At 48.0% G+C, this 16,460-nt stretch overlaps 1 protein-coding gene across 10 annotated transcripts in view, besides 1 other annotated feature; it reads right to left on the bottom strand.

The window, feature by feature from the left end:
- The window catches only part of CEMIP (cell migration inducing hyaluronidase 1), a 172,402-nt gene that overhangs the window by 7,247 nt on the left and 148,695 nt on the right, over positions 1-16,460 (bottom strand). For all 10 annotated transcript variants that reach the window (XM_047432894.1, XM_047432897.1, XM_047432893.1 and 7 more), the window contains 9 exons: positions 15,588-15,623; positions 15,351-15,506; positions 12,486-12,666; positions 11,065-11,280; positions 7,640-7,851; positions 6,546-6,731; positions 2,472-2,676; positions 2,188-2,274; positions 1,423-1,580 (listed from right to left, as the gene is read on the bottom strand). In XM_047432894.1, coding sequence (XP_047288850.1) covers positions 1,423-1,580; positions 2,188-2,274; positions 2,472-2,676; positions 6,546-6,731; positions 7,640-7,851; positions 11,065-11,280; positions 12,486-12,666; positions 15,351-15,506; positions 15,588-15,623 — 1,437 coding nt within the window. The remainder of the gene's footprint in view (positions 1-1,422; positions 1,581-2,187; positions 2,275-2,471; positions 2,677-6,545; positions 6,732-7,639; positions 7,852-11,064; positions 11,281-12,485; positions 12,667-15,350; positions 15,507-15,587; positions 15,624-16,460) is intronic.
- Positions 14,618-15,817: an enhancer, noted in NCBI's record as "BRD4-independent group 4 enhancer chr15:81221049-81222248 (GRCh37/hg19 assembly coordinates)". NCBI's record gives its function as "activates an origin of replication core promoter dependent on BRD2, P300/CBP, MED14 and CDK7 cofactors, and independent of BRD4, by STARR-seq in HCT116 cells {active_cell/tissue: HCT116}" and the evidence as "EXISTENCE:reporter gene assay evidence [ECO:0000049][PMID:35650434]".

Genomic DNA, 16,460 nt, shown 5'->3' with positions numbered 1-16,460 from the left:
TTTACTAAGCACCTACTATGTAGCAGGTACCACATGAAGCGCTTAGACTTTCCACCAGGTTGTGGCTCCTGAGTGAACTGTACACTCACTTAACTAGCCATGTTCTGTGCTAGAAATGCAAAGGGAAGTTAGACATGGCCCCAACATTGAGAAGGCCACACTCTTGATGGGGCAACAGATGTGTCCACCAGACCTATTGTGAGTAGTGCTTTAGCAGAGGTAGAACTTTTATTTTTTATTTTTTTGAGACGGAGTCTTGCTGTGTCACCCAGGCTGGAGTGCAGCTGCGCAATCTCGGCTCACTGCAACGTCCGCCTCCTGGGTTCAAGCGATTCTCCTGCCTCAGCCTCCTGAGTAGCTGGGACTACAGGTGTGCACCACCACACCCAGCTAATTTTTTTGTACTTTTAGTAGAGATGGGGTTTCACCATATTGGCCAGGCTGATGTCAAACTCCTGACCTCATGATCCACCCACCTCGGCCTCCCAAAGTGCTGAAATTACAGGTGTGAGCCAATGCGCCCTGCCAAGGTAGAACTTTTGGGTTGGATCGGAAAAGACCTCACCGAGGAGGCGATGTGGGGAGACTTGTAAGGTACTGGGGAATTACCAAAGTTTGCTAAGGAGAGGGGACACAGGTTTTCCCTACATTTAAGAAGTTTAAACCAGCGGCCAATATGGAAGATGGGTTGGAGTTGGGGCAACTGGAAGAGGGAGGCCCGTTAGGAGACTGTGCCAACAGTGTTGGTGATGAACAGCAAAGGCCGGGGCAGAGTGGCAGAAGAGAGGACGCTGTGGAGGGAACCAGCAGGCGAGCAGTACTGCAGGCAGAATTGATAGGGTGTGATGATAGCATGTGGAGGAAAGAAAGAGGAGACAAACAGAATGCCCAGATTCTGGCCTGGCTATCAGGATGAATTGTGATGATTTCATCAAAACTGAAGAAGTAGGATGAGTGGCTGGTTTGGGAGGTTAAACATTTTAAAAGGCTGAGAATTCAGTTCCATACAAGATGTCCAGGTGGCGTTGTCCAAGTAGCAGTTGGACTGGAATGTCTGGTGCTTAGGAAGGAGATCCGGGCTGGAGATAGTAGCCACCAGCACTTGGATCGTATTGAAGGTGTGGGAGGGGATGAGATCATGCTGGGAGTGTAGTGAAGAGGGCCAGGGCAACCTTCCCATGTGCAGCGGGGCTGTCCCGCCTGCCTCCGCCTGACCTACATTCACAGCAGCCCAGCTCCAACACCAGAGTCCACAGGCAAGGACGCTCTTGTCCAACACCCATGATTTGTGGGCAGGCTGTGGAGACTGCCTGAGCTTTTCCAGACTGATCTGTGATGAGGGCCTTTGTGAGAGGGAGGGGGCCCTTGCCCAGGGGTCTGCTGTGCCAGCAGCCAATTCCAGAAGCAGAGGTACAGACTCACTTGTCAGGGATGGTCGCCACATAGTTGAAAAGCTGCCATGGTATGCCTTGCAGAATGGAGTTCCTGAAGCTCGTGTGGCTCACCACGCGCCCTTGGTTCCCGTCAATCACCACCACCTGGATGCCATCCTCCGAACTGGGGTACTTCTTCCCATCCACCTACAGAGCCAGAGCAATCCAGGTGTGAGGCAGGGTGCCAAGGCCCCATGGTTCTCCTGCCCAGGTGGTTCCCAAGCAGACCCTGAAGGCAGAAGTTGCCTATGCATCTATTTGAAGCGTAAACTCCATTATCCACTTAACTCCTCGTAGCCCTCAGTAGTGGGTCAAATAGTGGCCCTGCAAAAGTTATGTCCACCCGGAACCTGTGAAAGTGGGCTTATGTGAAAATAGAATCTTTGCAGACGGAATTAAGTTAAAAGATTTTTTGATTAAACCTTCTGGATTTTTAGGGTGGGCCCTAAATTCAAAGATAGGTGCCTTTGCAAAAGAAAGGCAGGAGGAGAGGTGAGACGCAGACACTCAGGAGAAAAGCCCACATAAAGACAGAGATTAATGTGTCTGCAAGCTGAGGAATGCTCAGGAGTGCTGGCAGCCACCAGGAGCGAGAAGAGGCATGGAACAGGTTCCCCGCCCCAAGCCCCCTGGAGGAAACCACCCCTGCCAACACCTTGCTCCCAGTTTGCAGTAATTTGTGCCAGCAGCCGCAGGACACAGTATCACCTCTCAATGAGCAAACCCGAATCCTCCAGGGGCCAGAGGCACTTACTTCAATGTAAGCGAAGTCGTTCCAGAGGTGGAAGAAGTGCTGCTTGGAACTCTCCATCTTCACCTCCAAGAAATGGTCCTTTGTTTTCTGGAAAACACATAGAACCCAATGTAATTGTTAGGTTTGGGTAGTCATTCCCCTCCTCTTCCCGTATCCCCAGTCACAGGAAATGGTTTATGGAGCTGAGTGAGGGACCTAATTGGGTCTGGGCCCGACTGGACGGCAAAGGGCTCTAGGCCCGACTGGACGGCAAAGGGGTCTAGGCTTTGCTCTCAGCCACTCACCAGCTGAGAACCAAAGAGCTTCTTGGGCATCGGCACGTCTACGACAGCCCTCTCGGTGAACTTGGGGTAAGCTGTGGCTGTGCAGTCACTGACGCCTGCGTTCTTTGGAATCAGAGCTTTAATCTTTATCCTCTCACAGCCTTTCATGGAGCAGAAAGCAAACTTCTCTCTCTCGTTCTGAGCTTTCAGCTTCAGGAACAACAGCCTGCACACAAGGAGCATTGCTGGGCATTTGCTTGGACACTCAAACCTCCCTCTTCTCCTCCCACCCACCGAGACATTTACTCTGAGCTGGTCATAGCAGGTAGACCCAGCGGCCTTATAGAATGGAACCATGTCTACCACCGAGTTGCATGTAGTTGGAGAAATAAGGAACAAATGCATTGAAGAAAAAGCTAATGAGAATGGCAATTCTATTCTGAGCACGTTCTATGTGCCACGCCGTGCACACATCGTAAATCGACATATCTCATTTAATCCTCAAACAATCCTGTCCAGTAGGTACTATTATCATCCTGAATTCCTGGATGGGAAAATGGTGGCTCAGAGAAGTGAAGTGACTCGCCCAGGACCACACAGCTGGGAAGTGACAAAGCCAGCATTTTCCATCCCAGCATTGTGCCCGGTGAGGAGATGCTCTGTCTTCCTATCTCTAGTTTTCTCCAAACCATAATTTATTCCAAAAATTATTTATAATTTATTTAAAATAATAATTATTATTGTAAAGGAAGCTGACCCAGTGTTACAGGGAGTCAGATTATGAGGAAAACACAGTACTAACTTGGGATTCATTATTGTTCTTTTAGTGCAGAAAAGCGCTTTCAGGCTGAGTCCTGCATCTGAAACATGGGAAGATAGGATATGGGGTATCTACCACCCATCTTGCTCTGGGGACCAACCCTTCACTGAGTCCAGTCAGACTAGGGAGCTGGGTTTGCACCACAATGCCCTCGCCCCCAAACCCCTACCACACAGCTGCTCAGACCAGGGGCACACATTGGACTCACAGAGGGGCCATGGATTGGCCAACCAGTAACCAAGATTCTCGCTCTTATGGGACCCAGCAGGTCTTGTCCACCACCGGGTGGTGCTTGAACTAAAAGACCACATGGAGTTGGGGCTGACAACCTTGTTGTGCCCCATGCCTGCTAAGGAATCGCGAGAGGAAGGCAGTTTGCAGCAAGTAGCTGAAACAAGAGGCCATGCGTGTGTGCGTATGTGTGTGAACATGGGGAGATGGAGAGACACAAGGGGTAGGCAGGCTACCTCCTCCCTGCTGTCTTGGTTGCTGTCAGCACCTGAGCCCATGAGGCCCAGCTGGGTTTTTATTTCTTGAAGACCCCTTGGTCTTCTCTCTGTAGCACCTCCACTTAATCTGAGCTTCCTTGAGAGGCTTTATGTTTCAAGCCATCCACATCAAGTGATCTCAGAGTAAAGTAGAAACTGACTGTTACAGAGGCCTCGTGCTCAGGGCTGAGAGCAGAGCAGCCATATCTGCATTCCATGCCCTGCGTGGTGGGGAAGCTGGGGAGGCAGGTGAGCACCCGCTTTGAGCAGCTTAGGAGGAAGGCAGTTCAGTGCTGCCCATGGTCACGTCTCCCTGGAGGCTCCCAACATGCTCCAAACCACTCCTGGGACCAAGCACAGAAATGGGATTGGTCCTGAGGCTTCTGCACAAAACTTAACAGTATTCAGGTTTCCTTGTTGCCATTATATATCAGATTATCTAAACTGGGAGTGACCTAAAAGACCATCCAGCCCATGGTAGGTAGCAGCTGCCTTCCCTAATCCTGACCTACAACTTGGATGTGTGCAAGCTGGCTGAACTGCAAAGCCCTGGAAGGCATGAAAGGAGCACGGGCCTGGGCATCTGCCAGCCCAGTGCTCAAATCCTGGCTATGACCAAGTAATGTTGCAGAGCAGCGCTACTGATGGCTGTGCACCTTAAATAATGTACTTGTTTATAATTTAGTAAGAATCATTATAAGAATTCACTGAGGTGGTATTAAGCAAACTTAGCTATCCAGAACACAGCTACAATCACTTAACAGTTTTTTTAACCTGGAAAAAATGAGAGATGATTCAGAGCTTATATATTTCACACTTTGAAATCCCCTCCCTTTTAGCTGACTTATTTTAATTTTACCCCTAATTATAGCAAGCTGGTTGTTAAGTATCCTAGCCCATAGTAGATTATTAGAAGGTAGCTGCTAAAGGCAGGTGCTCTGAGTATAAGAAACAACAAACGTATAAGGCAGAAAGATTTTTAAAAGCCCAAGAGTTTGCAGCCCTTCTCCATAGGAAACAGACCCCCTATAACCCAACTCCTGGTCCCTAAGGCGTTGCTGAATTGAAACACAACACAATGATCAACAGGCATAGGGCTAAGCTATGCTACCAACCAAAAAATGTGCTTAAGGTGACAAGCAGACCAGCCTTAGATTTTTAAGACTTTGATCAAAGAGGTTCAACTTACTTAGTGGAAGTTTCCATTTGAAAAATTCACATCTTTTGAACATTTCACTCATGAGCCGGAAAGAAGAAAATCTGCATGGATGGTATCCCAGGGACTTTACCTTATCAACATCTGTTACTTTAATCATAATATTTCCTAGTGGTATGTGGGGCATATCTCACTCCTCCTCCTCTGGTATTCATATGGGAGGATTTTCCTAAATACTCCTGGCCCCTGGGCCCTCCCCTCATCCACTTCTTCCCATGGGAAGAGAGTGTCTCATATAATTGGTTGGTTTTGGGTATTTGGCTCAGCCCGTAGAGCAGGGGCACTCTGGTCTGTCTTCCATGCTCTGAGGTTTTCGGGCTGGGCCCTATGTGGGGAGCCTGTAATTGCCCAGTGCTCCCTGGGGCGGAGGAGGTAAAATTGGGGATGATATTGGAAAGCTCTATTCTCCAACAGCTTTATCATCAGTAAGGTGGATCACTTCCTCTTCCCCTGCCAGCTTGTCTGCCCCCAGCTGGCGTAGCACTTGTGTGGGGAAAGAGGTGTTTTTTATTGCCCTCCCATCCCAACATTTTACTTATACTTTTGATTCTAAATTTTAATTTTCCCTTAATCAAATTGATGGAGCCATAAATAAGATAGATCATCTGTTATCAGTTTCTTTATCATTGACTTCCATATAAGAATAGAAAACTGGCCATCAACTGATCTTTTACCCTTACTCCTCACAGTTTGCTATCGACGTTGCTGTGGAGCTGGGTTGGCATTCTTAAGACATTAGACGAAATTTCTTTTTAAGAGAGGGGATCAAAGAACTCCCAGAAACAGATACTCTGTTTTCATTATATCTCTATTGAATAGAACCTAGTGCAGGTTAGCAAAAGGGTGAGGGCTTTGAAGACAGACAGATCTAGGTTCAAATCCAGCTGGGTCAGCTTTATGCTATGATCTCAGGAAGTCTCTCCTATTTTCCCTGTGCCTTCTTTGCCCATCTCTCACTCTCTCTGTCACCCAGGCTGGAATGCAATGGCAGTATCTTGGCTCACTGCAACCTCCGCCTCCCAGGTTCAAGCAATTCTCCTGCCTCAGCCTCCTGAGTAGCTGGGATTACAGGCACGCGCCACCATGCCCAGCTAATTTTTGTATTTTTAGTAGAGACGGGGTTTCACCATGTTGGCCAGGCTGGTCTCGAACTCCTGACCTTGTGATCCACCCACCTCGGCCTCCCAAAGTGCTGGGAAGCGTGAGTCACCACACCCAGCTGCCCATCTCTTAATCCTCTGCTCCAAGCAGGTTGTTGTGAGGATTTGAGATAATGTACCATGTTTTCTGGATTCTAAGATTTACTGCCTTCACTTTTTTTTTTCTGAAATATGTAAATTCCCTACAATTCACATGTATATTTAATAGGGTGTTTATTTTACTTTTAAAGCTTAATAGCTTTAAAAATGTCGTTAATGTATGGGACAGTCAGCCTTAGAGTCAAAATGCCTAGAAAGGTGTCTTACATTAATTGGCATTAACTACATGGCTGTTCTTAGACTTATTGGAAAGGCCAAGGGGACAAGATGAGGTTGAGCCACTTTCCTGCAGCCAAGTGGGCGCCTGCTCACCCTGAGTCCTCGTCCCAGTAGTAGTGGCTCCTGCCAGGGTAGCTCTGCTCCACTTTGTCCATCTGCAAGGTCCTCACGAAGACGCCCGTCTTGGACGTTTGCTTCAGCAGGCGATTGTGAACATCCGAGAGGATGGAGAATGTGGTGCCTCGCGGGTAGCAGAGCCCCACTCGGATCCAGTCGCCCCTAGGATTGGAAGTAGAGTCAGGTTACAAGCAAGGGTGTCCAGGCCACAGGGCCTTTGGAGCATGCCTTGGAGAAAGAGACCAAAAAATCTCCACCAAATGACACCTCCACTTTTGTATGGGAAATTTTGAAAGCACATTTGCTGTCGTGGTGACTGAGTTGCAGTGTTCAAGGAGAGAGGGAGAGACAATGGCTGCCCATGAGCAAAGAGCCTGAATGCTTCACTGGTGTGTCTCCAGGGCCAACCCTGGGGGTGCTGCATATGGAACTTTGGGAAAAAGACATTCTTTTCGTAGTTAAAGAGCACAGGATCCAAAGGACCTAGGCTGAGCCCCTTCTGGGTCCAGCTTGATTGTAGGGCCGATTTCATCGCTTTGGTCTCATTTCCCACATCTGGTAAATGTCTGTCTCACAGAAATACTGTGACAAGTAAATAATGTGCATAGAAAATACTAGAATCTAAATATATGAAGCCCTATCCAGATGCCCTCGGCCTCAACACTTTATCTCGCAGAGCCTCGTTTCCCTCTCTGTAGGATGGTAACAACAATACCCAGATATTTTTGTCATCTGTCGAGCACTGGCTAATGCCAGGTCCTGGGTGCCCGCCATACCTTATCTCCTTGGGTCCTCATTGCACTCCTGCAAGGTAATACTATCCTCAACTCAAAGATCAAGGAGCTCAGGCTCAAGAGGTTACGTGCGCTGGCCAAGGTTACCCATGCTGGAGCGGGGGCTTGGCCTGTGTCCTTTAATTCTTAACTCCTGGGTGATGTCAACCCCTCTAGGTACTCCTGCATGGATCACATGGGCTAGCCTGTGGTTTCGTTAGACGCAAGTCCAGGACTTTGCAACAAGGCATCGTTATCAGCTTTGAGCTCACTGCTCCTGGCTGGACACCCACTCACTTGTTGAAGTTGATGAGCCAGATGGCGAGTTCGGCGGGGGCCGTCTGGTCCCAGTGGATGGTGTAGCCCTTCTGCAGGGTGACAACCGGTTGGTATTGCTGGTAATGGGTGCTCCTGGTGAGCGCCCCCTCCAGGTAAAGAGGGTGGCTGGGGAAGTCATTCTTGATGATCTTCATTCGCAGGTTACTGGTCTTGTAGGCTTGAATGTACATCTTTTAAAACCCAAAAAGGAAACACACAATGAGGCTATTACGAAGGATTATTCCAAGAGCGTCTGGCTAACATCTGACTATAGACCGCACTTTCAAAGGCACTTTCTCTTTACAGAACCCTTTTTAGAAGGCTTGAATGAAAGAAAGGCCAAATAAGGGGACATCTCTTTCTGCTGATGGACGCAGCCCAGGCCTTACTGTGTAATCCAGCTAATGCTTTCTGTTCATCTTCATAAAAGTGCTCTGTTGAGCTTCCAGTGGAAATTTGAGAAGAGTCTGCATAATAGTCAGATGGCAAATTTTGGACAAAGGACAGAGATGTGGACGGAGGAGGAAGGGAGTAAGAGAGAGAGAGAGAGAACTTTTTTAATTCTACCATAAAATGCAACTCGCCTATAACTGGCAGTTGCTCTGCCTGATTTTAGAGAGTGCCTGGGTGTGTTGGCCTACTTCTCCCTCCTACTCCCTCTCAGTGTCTGGCCCCTGAGGCCAGTCCTTGTGGTGCCACAACACACTGCATGAATAAATGGTGCCTCATTTCAGAGGAAAAACTGAAAGCAAGACTGTCAGCCATTGAGTTCCAGGGACCTAAGAGCCTGGATGCTTTATCCCAGCATTGGTTTAAAACACTGTGTTGGCCGGGCGCGGTGGCTCATGCCTGTAATCCCAGCACTTTGGGAGGCCGAGGCGGGTGGATCACCTGAGGTTGGGAGTTCGAGACCAGCCTGACCAACATGGAGAAACCCTGCCTCTACTAAAAATACAAAATTAGCTGGGCATGGTGGCACATGCTTGTAATCCCAGCTACTAGGGAGGCTGAGGCAGGAGAATCGCTTGAACCTGGGAGGCGGGGGTTGCAGTGAGCCGAGATCACGCCATTGCCCATTGCACTCCAGCCTGGGCAACAAGAGCGAAACTCCATCTCAAAACAAAAACAAAAACAAAAAAAACGCCATGTCCTGTTTTATGGCACATCCCAAATTCATAAGACAATATCCCCATAACTGTGGCCAAGAGAGACAATCACACCAACGTGCAATGATGTTGTGCTTTTGGAAGGAAGTGCTTATCTTCCCCTCTAGTTTTATCGCATATAAGATGGAAAGAGAACCAACCCTGCCCATCTTAGGAAGTTGCCCTGAGTATCAGAAGGTAAAGCGTACATTAAAGCATTTTGTAAGATGTAAAGTGAAGGGAAAATATTATGAATAACCGTTAATAACCAGTTGCCAGTTATGATAATCTGGCAAGCTCTAACGATGAGCTTTTTTTTCACAGAAGATAAGCAACATATCAGAAAGAAAGTGTGGGAAGGAAAATCAAGGCTCCATATGGGATACCTAGACCTTGAGCTGAGGCTGTGTAATGCTGACAGTGTGGATGCCAGGCTTGAGGGTTTGGTCATCCTTCAATTATTCAGGACATGACTGTCCTCCATCAGCTCCCTTCTGACCCCACTTCCCTTCTTATCTTCCTCACATCATCATATCAACCACTCACTCCCATTAGCATCTTGGCCCTTCCTCTGCCCACACCTACAGCAGAAGCCACCCCATGGCTCATTGCACAGCTCCGCCTCTCCCAGGGCTCTTGAGCAGGGCTGAGAAAATCCCACAGCCTGGGAGAGAGGTGCCTCTGCAAATGCACCGCCTCCAGTCTCCACTGGGTTTTCAACACTGCCAGGCACTCCTTCCACAAGCTTCTTGTCAACATTTTCCACTCTCTACAGCAACTCTTCCAAATCTTTATCGCTCTCTGGAGGTTACTTTCCTCAAGCCCAGTCCCCACATTCTCAGCACATGACATCACATTCTACTGCAGAGAGAAACACCCTCAGCTTCCTGCCCTCTGCCCTGTCTTCCTCTGGTCCTTCTTCCTGCTAAATGCTAGCCCTGCCACCTACTCTGGCACCTGACCCCCACCAGCTGCACCCTGTGCCCTCTTTGCCCCTTATGGCCCTTTTCCTTCAGCCCAACACCATCTCCCTCTCCTATCACTCCTCCACCCCCAAACCACCATTTAGCTCCTTTCTAACACCCCAATTCCTGACACCCACGGTGGTGATAATAATGCCTGCCTTGTAGGATAGTTGTGAAGACAGCTATTCATACATGTTTCCTTCATTCTCTGAGACGACCTGGCTCACTGTGAACCTGACAATTCATTTTCTCAGGCCTCTCTCCCGTTACTCATTTATTCATTAGTCATTCATCAAAATACTAGAAGTAACAATAATATAATAATAGCTAACTAATATTTTAAGTTCTGCCCTGTTCTAGGCACCATCTAGACCTGCCCTGTCCCTCATGTGGCCACTGAGCACTGGACATGTGGCCACTGTGACTCAGGATCTGAATTTTAAACTTCAATTCATTTAAATTTCAAAACAAAAGCAATGTAAATATTTTTTCCTATCCCATTACCCTGATTTGATCATTACACATTGTATACATATATCAAATATCACACATTCTCCAAGAGAATATACTATGATATAGCAATAAAAATGCAAAAATAAATTAAAAATAAAATTAAAAATTCACATTAAACACAACGTTATTGTTTCAGTAGGACTACACTTCCCTTGGTTGAAAATTGAGTGGGCTATAAGTGTAAAATACACAGTAGACTTTGAAGACTTAGAAAAAAAACAAGAAGTGTTTTTAATGATTTTCTACACTGATTCATTTTGAATGATAGTATTTTTAATACAATTAAAGTATTATTAAAATTAAATTCTGTTTCTTTTTACTTTTTAACATGGCTACCAGAAAATTTAAGATTACATGTGTGGCTTGCATTATATTTCTATTGGATAAGGCTGATGAAACATTTTACTTGTATTTTCTGAAGCCACCCCCAAAATCTCGCTAGGAAAGTTCAACTATTTTACAGGTGAGGAAACTGAGGCTCCAAGAGACCAAGTAATTTGCCCAAGGTCCAATGGTAAGTGTTGGAGCCTGACTTGAATCGAAGCAGTTGACCCAGAGGGTTCTTTTTTTCTAAGCATTTTGCTCACCAAGTGTTTTGACTTTAACTTTGTAAAAATCCTACTGGGTGAGGGGAAAAAATAAAAGGAAAGAAAGAAAAAGAAAAAAAAATTCTGTATCTCTTTCTGGCCTGAAACAGAGCCAGGCATAGAGTAGACACTCACTGAATGCTTGTTGCATGAGTGAATAAGTGAGTGGCCGGCCCCCAGAATGGTGTCCCCACCTGTGCATAGCACCCACTGCAAATGGCCCCTCTCCAGTCGGGAACATTGATGCAGTCTGGGTGCCGGACCAGCCAGTTGTCATTCTTCGTGAGGTAGGAGCCAGGGTACTCGGACACGGAGCCGTCGACGTCATGGAACACAGATGTCTTATCCCCATCCATGTCCAGCTGGTTGAACCAGGGCCCAGGCTCTCCGAAGAACACTCTGGAAGTAATCTAAACAGAGCCCAGGAAAGTTAGGCAGGGCTAGAAGGTGAAGGGAAACTGCAGCCGTCATCAGGCCAGGGCGAGGTTTCCGATTTCCACTGACGTTACAAGCCAGCCAAAACAAAGATGCTCTCGGGCACTGAGAGAAACCACGTGGCTGACCCCTCCGATGCAACCGGAGTCACAGTCAAAGGTTCACTGTGCCTCAACTCCCAGACCTAGCACATGCTTTTGGCCTCTGCTCACTGGAGGGTTGGCTGCTGTGGATGAGCTTGGAGACTGCTCTGACACACAGCCTTCACCAACTGCAGAGATGGAGGAGGGGGACTGAGGACTGTGAGTGTGACTGTGTGTGAGAGGGAGGTGGGGGTGATGTGTGTATGAGAAAGGGTACACACACTTTTACACATACACACACACATACACGGGGGCATCCGTGTGCGAGAGAAGATGCATGTGGCACGTTTCAGGAAGACAGTTTTGCAGCATGAGCCCTTGCAGATTTCCATAACTGACCTCTTTCAGGCTCTCAGTTGCCTGAGTAAAGACATTAAGTCATTTCAGTTTCACATCGTTTCCCTCAGCCTGCCAGGAACTGGGCAAACAGGCAAAAGGCAGGAGCAGGGAGGAGAAGGAGGGAAAAGTCTGGGAATCCATAACCTGAAGGAAATGCACAGGAGGACTGGCCCCGGCTGGTCTCACAGGGCAGCCCTTGCTCCTGATCTCCTAATCCTCCGCCCCTCTTCTGCCTTCTCTGTCTAGGGCAAGGAGGCCTCTGTTTATAGTCTGCTCTCGGGGAGAGATTAAACAGAACATCATCAGCTAAGACTTCCCTTGGAAACTGTGGGGCTTGTTAGATTCTTTGTGCCAACTCAGGTGGCCTGGTCAGAAGACTCAGTTTGTCAAAGTCAAGTCCCTTGGAGGAACAGCCTAGGAACCTCAGTCCACACGTCGGGTTCCTCCAGAGGCTCGCCTGAGTTTTGAGCAGGGAGAGAGCAAGCGGGCATTTACCCAGACCTGACCTGTGGGGCAACCTACGCTTGTACTTTTCCAGTTTGGATGAAGAGCAAACTGGGACATGGCCCAGCCTAGTTGGAGGAGGCTTCTCAACCCCTGCGGTGGTGGCAATAGCTCAAACTCTGGGACCCAGGGGACTTGTGAATCACCATCCAAAGTCTGGGTTTGCCGGGAGTCTGCCCTGGCGCCTCACTCACCGGAACGTCCTCAAAGGCAATGCCGGTCACGTTGTTATGGGGGCAGCTCTGCCAGGCATTATTCAGGCGGAAGGCCAGGGCGCTGGTGTGCCGGCCCTCCAGGGCCACAAACTTTCGGAAAGTGCAGTTTTGGATGTTGATGGGGCCATCATATAACTGAATTCCTCTAATTGGAAAATTCCTACGGAGTTAAGGAAGTAAGATGTCAGTCTAAATGTTTTCCATTCCTATGGAGTTAAGGAAGTAAGACGTCAGTCTAAACGCCATGTTTGCCCCTTCTGAGGTGGATGGTAGCAGAGACTTCCTGGGTAAAACCATTCCTGATCCCCACCTCTAGAAACTCCCCCTGCCCCAGATCATTATTAATTAATTATTAATTCATTAATTAATTTAAAGCATGTATAGACACACTAAGTGTCAATGAATGACTGCCGGGTGAATGGATGGATGGATGAATGGATGGATGAGTTGAATATCCATCTAGTTGCTAGTTTGGAGTTTGGAGAATGGTCCTGTATTTCAACATTTTCCCCAATTTTTCCATTACATAAAGAGTCATTGGGTAAATACTGTAAATACCACTGGAGCGTGCCAATATTATGTTTCTTGGGAAGATAGAGCTGTTAGTCATTATCGCCTTAGTTTTAGTTGCTATAACAATTAAATCAGATTAAGACCCACATGAGTTTCTCCTCTGGGAGTAAGCCTTTCACATTGGCAGTGTGCTGGGTTTGGGAAACAGAGGGGAAAAGGACACAGAATGGAAGGTGATAAACATGATAAAAATAATTGTAAGGCAACATTTTCAGCACCCCTAGAAGAAAGGGAGGCCCCACTGAAAAGCAAGACTGTAGGCTGACAGAGAACCCCAAGAAGGCCCTGAGACCCAGAAGGAGGTGGGAAGCGGCAACAGGCTTGGACGTGGAGGTAGGAGAGACTGGACAAGAACTGGTGACTTGAAGATTTTGCCTTGGCTTAGCATGGAGTAGGTTGCTCAGACACACTTCTCCCATTGCCTCAGACTCCTGAGCAGAGCACAGGAAGCAAGGGTCTGCGAGGCTGGCTGGGCTTCCTGGTGGTCCTTCTTGGGCCTGGCCCCAGTCTAGGCTTGCTCCTTCTCCAAACCCAACATGTATGCTTATGCTGGTGTCTCTGTATCTGGGTCAAGCACATTGTCTTCCACAGCAAATATAAAGAAGAAAAAATAGAAAGATGGAAAAAGAAGCAGAAAAAATATCTGCCCACAGGGAGAGACCATACTCCAGTTGTCCCTGATCTTCAACCCTGGGCTCCCTTCCATTCCAATATGGTTCCTTGAGGAAGACCCTAGGCACAGCAGTCACGGTAACATGCCTTCAGTGGGCACCAAAGACTCCTTGCATTTCTATATTTTTACGTTTATAATTGATTAACATCATGATCTAGAATCCTGATTCTCAAGGGGTGGCTCCATGCATTTTTTCATTTCACATATTTTAGGGACAGTCCATTTTTACTAGCTCTATACTTAGGTTTTGCACTTCAGACCCTGACCCAGCTCTATACAAGATGGATCAACCATGATTAGGACTGCAGGCTCTTAGGTTCCTACTTGCAGATGCAATTTGAGGAACCTGCCTCAGTCTGACAGGTTTCCATAAACAGGATCACCTTTGGAAGTCATCAGAGCATTCTGGCCCCGGGAGGCTGGTAACCCTTGGCAAAGAAACCTTGAACGTGCGGATTCAGGGTCACTCATACACATGCTGAAAGGGACTGCTCCATTACTCAGGTTAGACAAAAGGAAGGGCTTCTCACAGCTCATGCTGAAGGAGACCATGATTTTGCCTTTGCAAAGTCTTTTCCATGTCCACTTGGGTTGGAAGTTTTAGGTCAATGTGTATTTTGTGTCCTGACTCTAGTAGTAGAAATTATATCTTCCTAGAGAAAGAGTAGAAAGCTCAGACAGACAAGAAGGGCTGATCTTATCACCAGGAGCACAGGGACTACCATGCTGCTCACAGGCTCAGAGCCTTGCTCTCTGGCTTGAATTCACACCTGAGCAGAAACACCAGCAGAAGAAAGGAGATTTCCTCACCACTGACCCAGCCTGTGGTTTTCCAAGGAATTGACTGAGTCCATTATCCCTGTTTGCTCATCACCCTTCCAAGTCACCCATTCATTCTCCACCCACCTGCTTATCGTCTGACCTTCATTTGAACTCCCCCAGCCGCAGAAACCAGGACTCCTCAGGACAGTCCTGCTATTCTGTTGTTGAGCATATCTGACATTAAAAAGATCCATCCTTCTTGCACTAAACCAACCCTAACCCACGGTGCCCGTGTAGAATGAGTCTCATCCCCTATGTGCACAGCAGCTCTGAGAACATGTAACAATATCCCCCATGTTGTCCCCAAAGTGATGATCCTGTCTTCTGGTTGAAGACCCCAACCTGCATGTGACATAGCTTCGGCTTTTGTCACCCTCCTGGTTATTCTCCTTTAAGTGTGCTTCGGCCTGACTCTATTGCTCTGCCATCCTCAGGAGTGGATGCTACACTCCAAGTGAGAGTGCTGTCAGAGAAAAGGACTCACAGTCCCTGATCCCAGACACACTAAATTCCCATTAACATAGCCCAGGAATGCATTACGCATTTTGATGGCCACGTCACCCTGTTGACTCATATTCAACACCACTTTTTGACTTCTCTCTCCCCATTCCAGATTTCATCCCTTAATTGTTAGTCTCAGTCACCTCAGTGATTCCTCTGGCTGGTAGAAGAATTCATAGTCAACAGGTAGAAACTACCCATTAACTTTTTCCCTTCCATCACAGCCACTTAGGTTAAGCCACTCAGAATAAGGAGCTACATGGTTGCAAACCTACTGGCCTATAGGGAGGGTCCTTCCGCTATGGTCCAAGCCGCCAGGGCCCCAGATCCTATTGTCCATCATTTCCGTCCCCACGTTGCCACTCTCGCCAACAAACAAGCTGTTCTTTATCTCTTGCTTGGAGCCGTCGTCATACGGGAAGGTTCCACCACTGTAGAGAGAAGATGTTTAAGGTGAGATGCCCAGAGACAAGATCCCACAGAGGACCAAGTACAATGACAGTTGCCCTTACCTGGCCAGGGTCAGGCCAATGCCATTGTCAGCAAACCTGTGGGCAAGAGCAGATAGATAGTCAGAGCATGCCCTGGCTTCACATTCAGTGGAGTCGTGGAGAGAAGGACACTTCCCTGCCCTTGGAGTCAAACTGAATACCGTGCAGAGGAAGGAGTCTCTACATAAGCAGAGTCGTGCTCAGGGAGTTGTGGCTCTCCTGTTCTGCACAGGAAGGGGATTTTCTGGGTCCCCTCCCACTCTGACTCTAGAGAGAAAGCAGTGACCCCTGTGGCTCTCCACATTCAACGGCATTGACAGCATGCAGACTGGGGTCCATATGCCTCCCTCTCCAGCCCCATCCTCTGTGATTCCAGGGCTTAGTGTGAGGTTGGATCAGGAGAACTTGAAGGGCCTTCCGCTCTCAGGACCAGCACCAGGGAAAGGTGGAGTATGTGAATGCACTTCTATTTTTTTTTTCTTTTACCATCTTCACTGCTGTTTCAGCCATAGAGAGAGGCATCAATAGCTACTTTTCAAGTTTCCAGGAAGCCAGGCAGATGCTGACCCTGAGAAGGGCAGGAAGTCATTTTGCAATTGCTCTGGGGCCATCTCGTCAGCTCCCTTTCACCTCTGCCCTTTTTAGGGGTCAGATGAGCATGCTTCTGGGGGGCGTCTGATTGCGAGGGACAAGGGATTACACAGAATCCAGAGCTGAGCCTTGGGTCTGTGCTACCACAGACCCTAGGGCCAAATACAGTGGCCGCCTTCACTTCCTGTGTCCCAGGGGTAGATTTAACTGGTCTCTATGCCTCTGCTCCTTCCATCTGTCCTGTCCACCCTGCCAGGCTCATCTCAAAGTGCCATTCTCACCAGCCTCTCTGGTCCCTAAAAC

Source organism: Homo sapiens, chromosome 15 (genome assembly GCF_000001405.40).
Source record: "Homo sapiens chromosome 15, GRCh38.p14 Primary Assembly".
In the NCBI taxonomy this organism is placed as follows: domain Eukaryota; kingdom Metazoa; phylum Chordata; class Mammalia; order Primates; family Hominidae; genus Homo; species Homo sapiens.
Note: the sequence above shows the minus strand (reverse complement) of the source record. Positions and strands in the feature narration are given on the sequence as shown.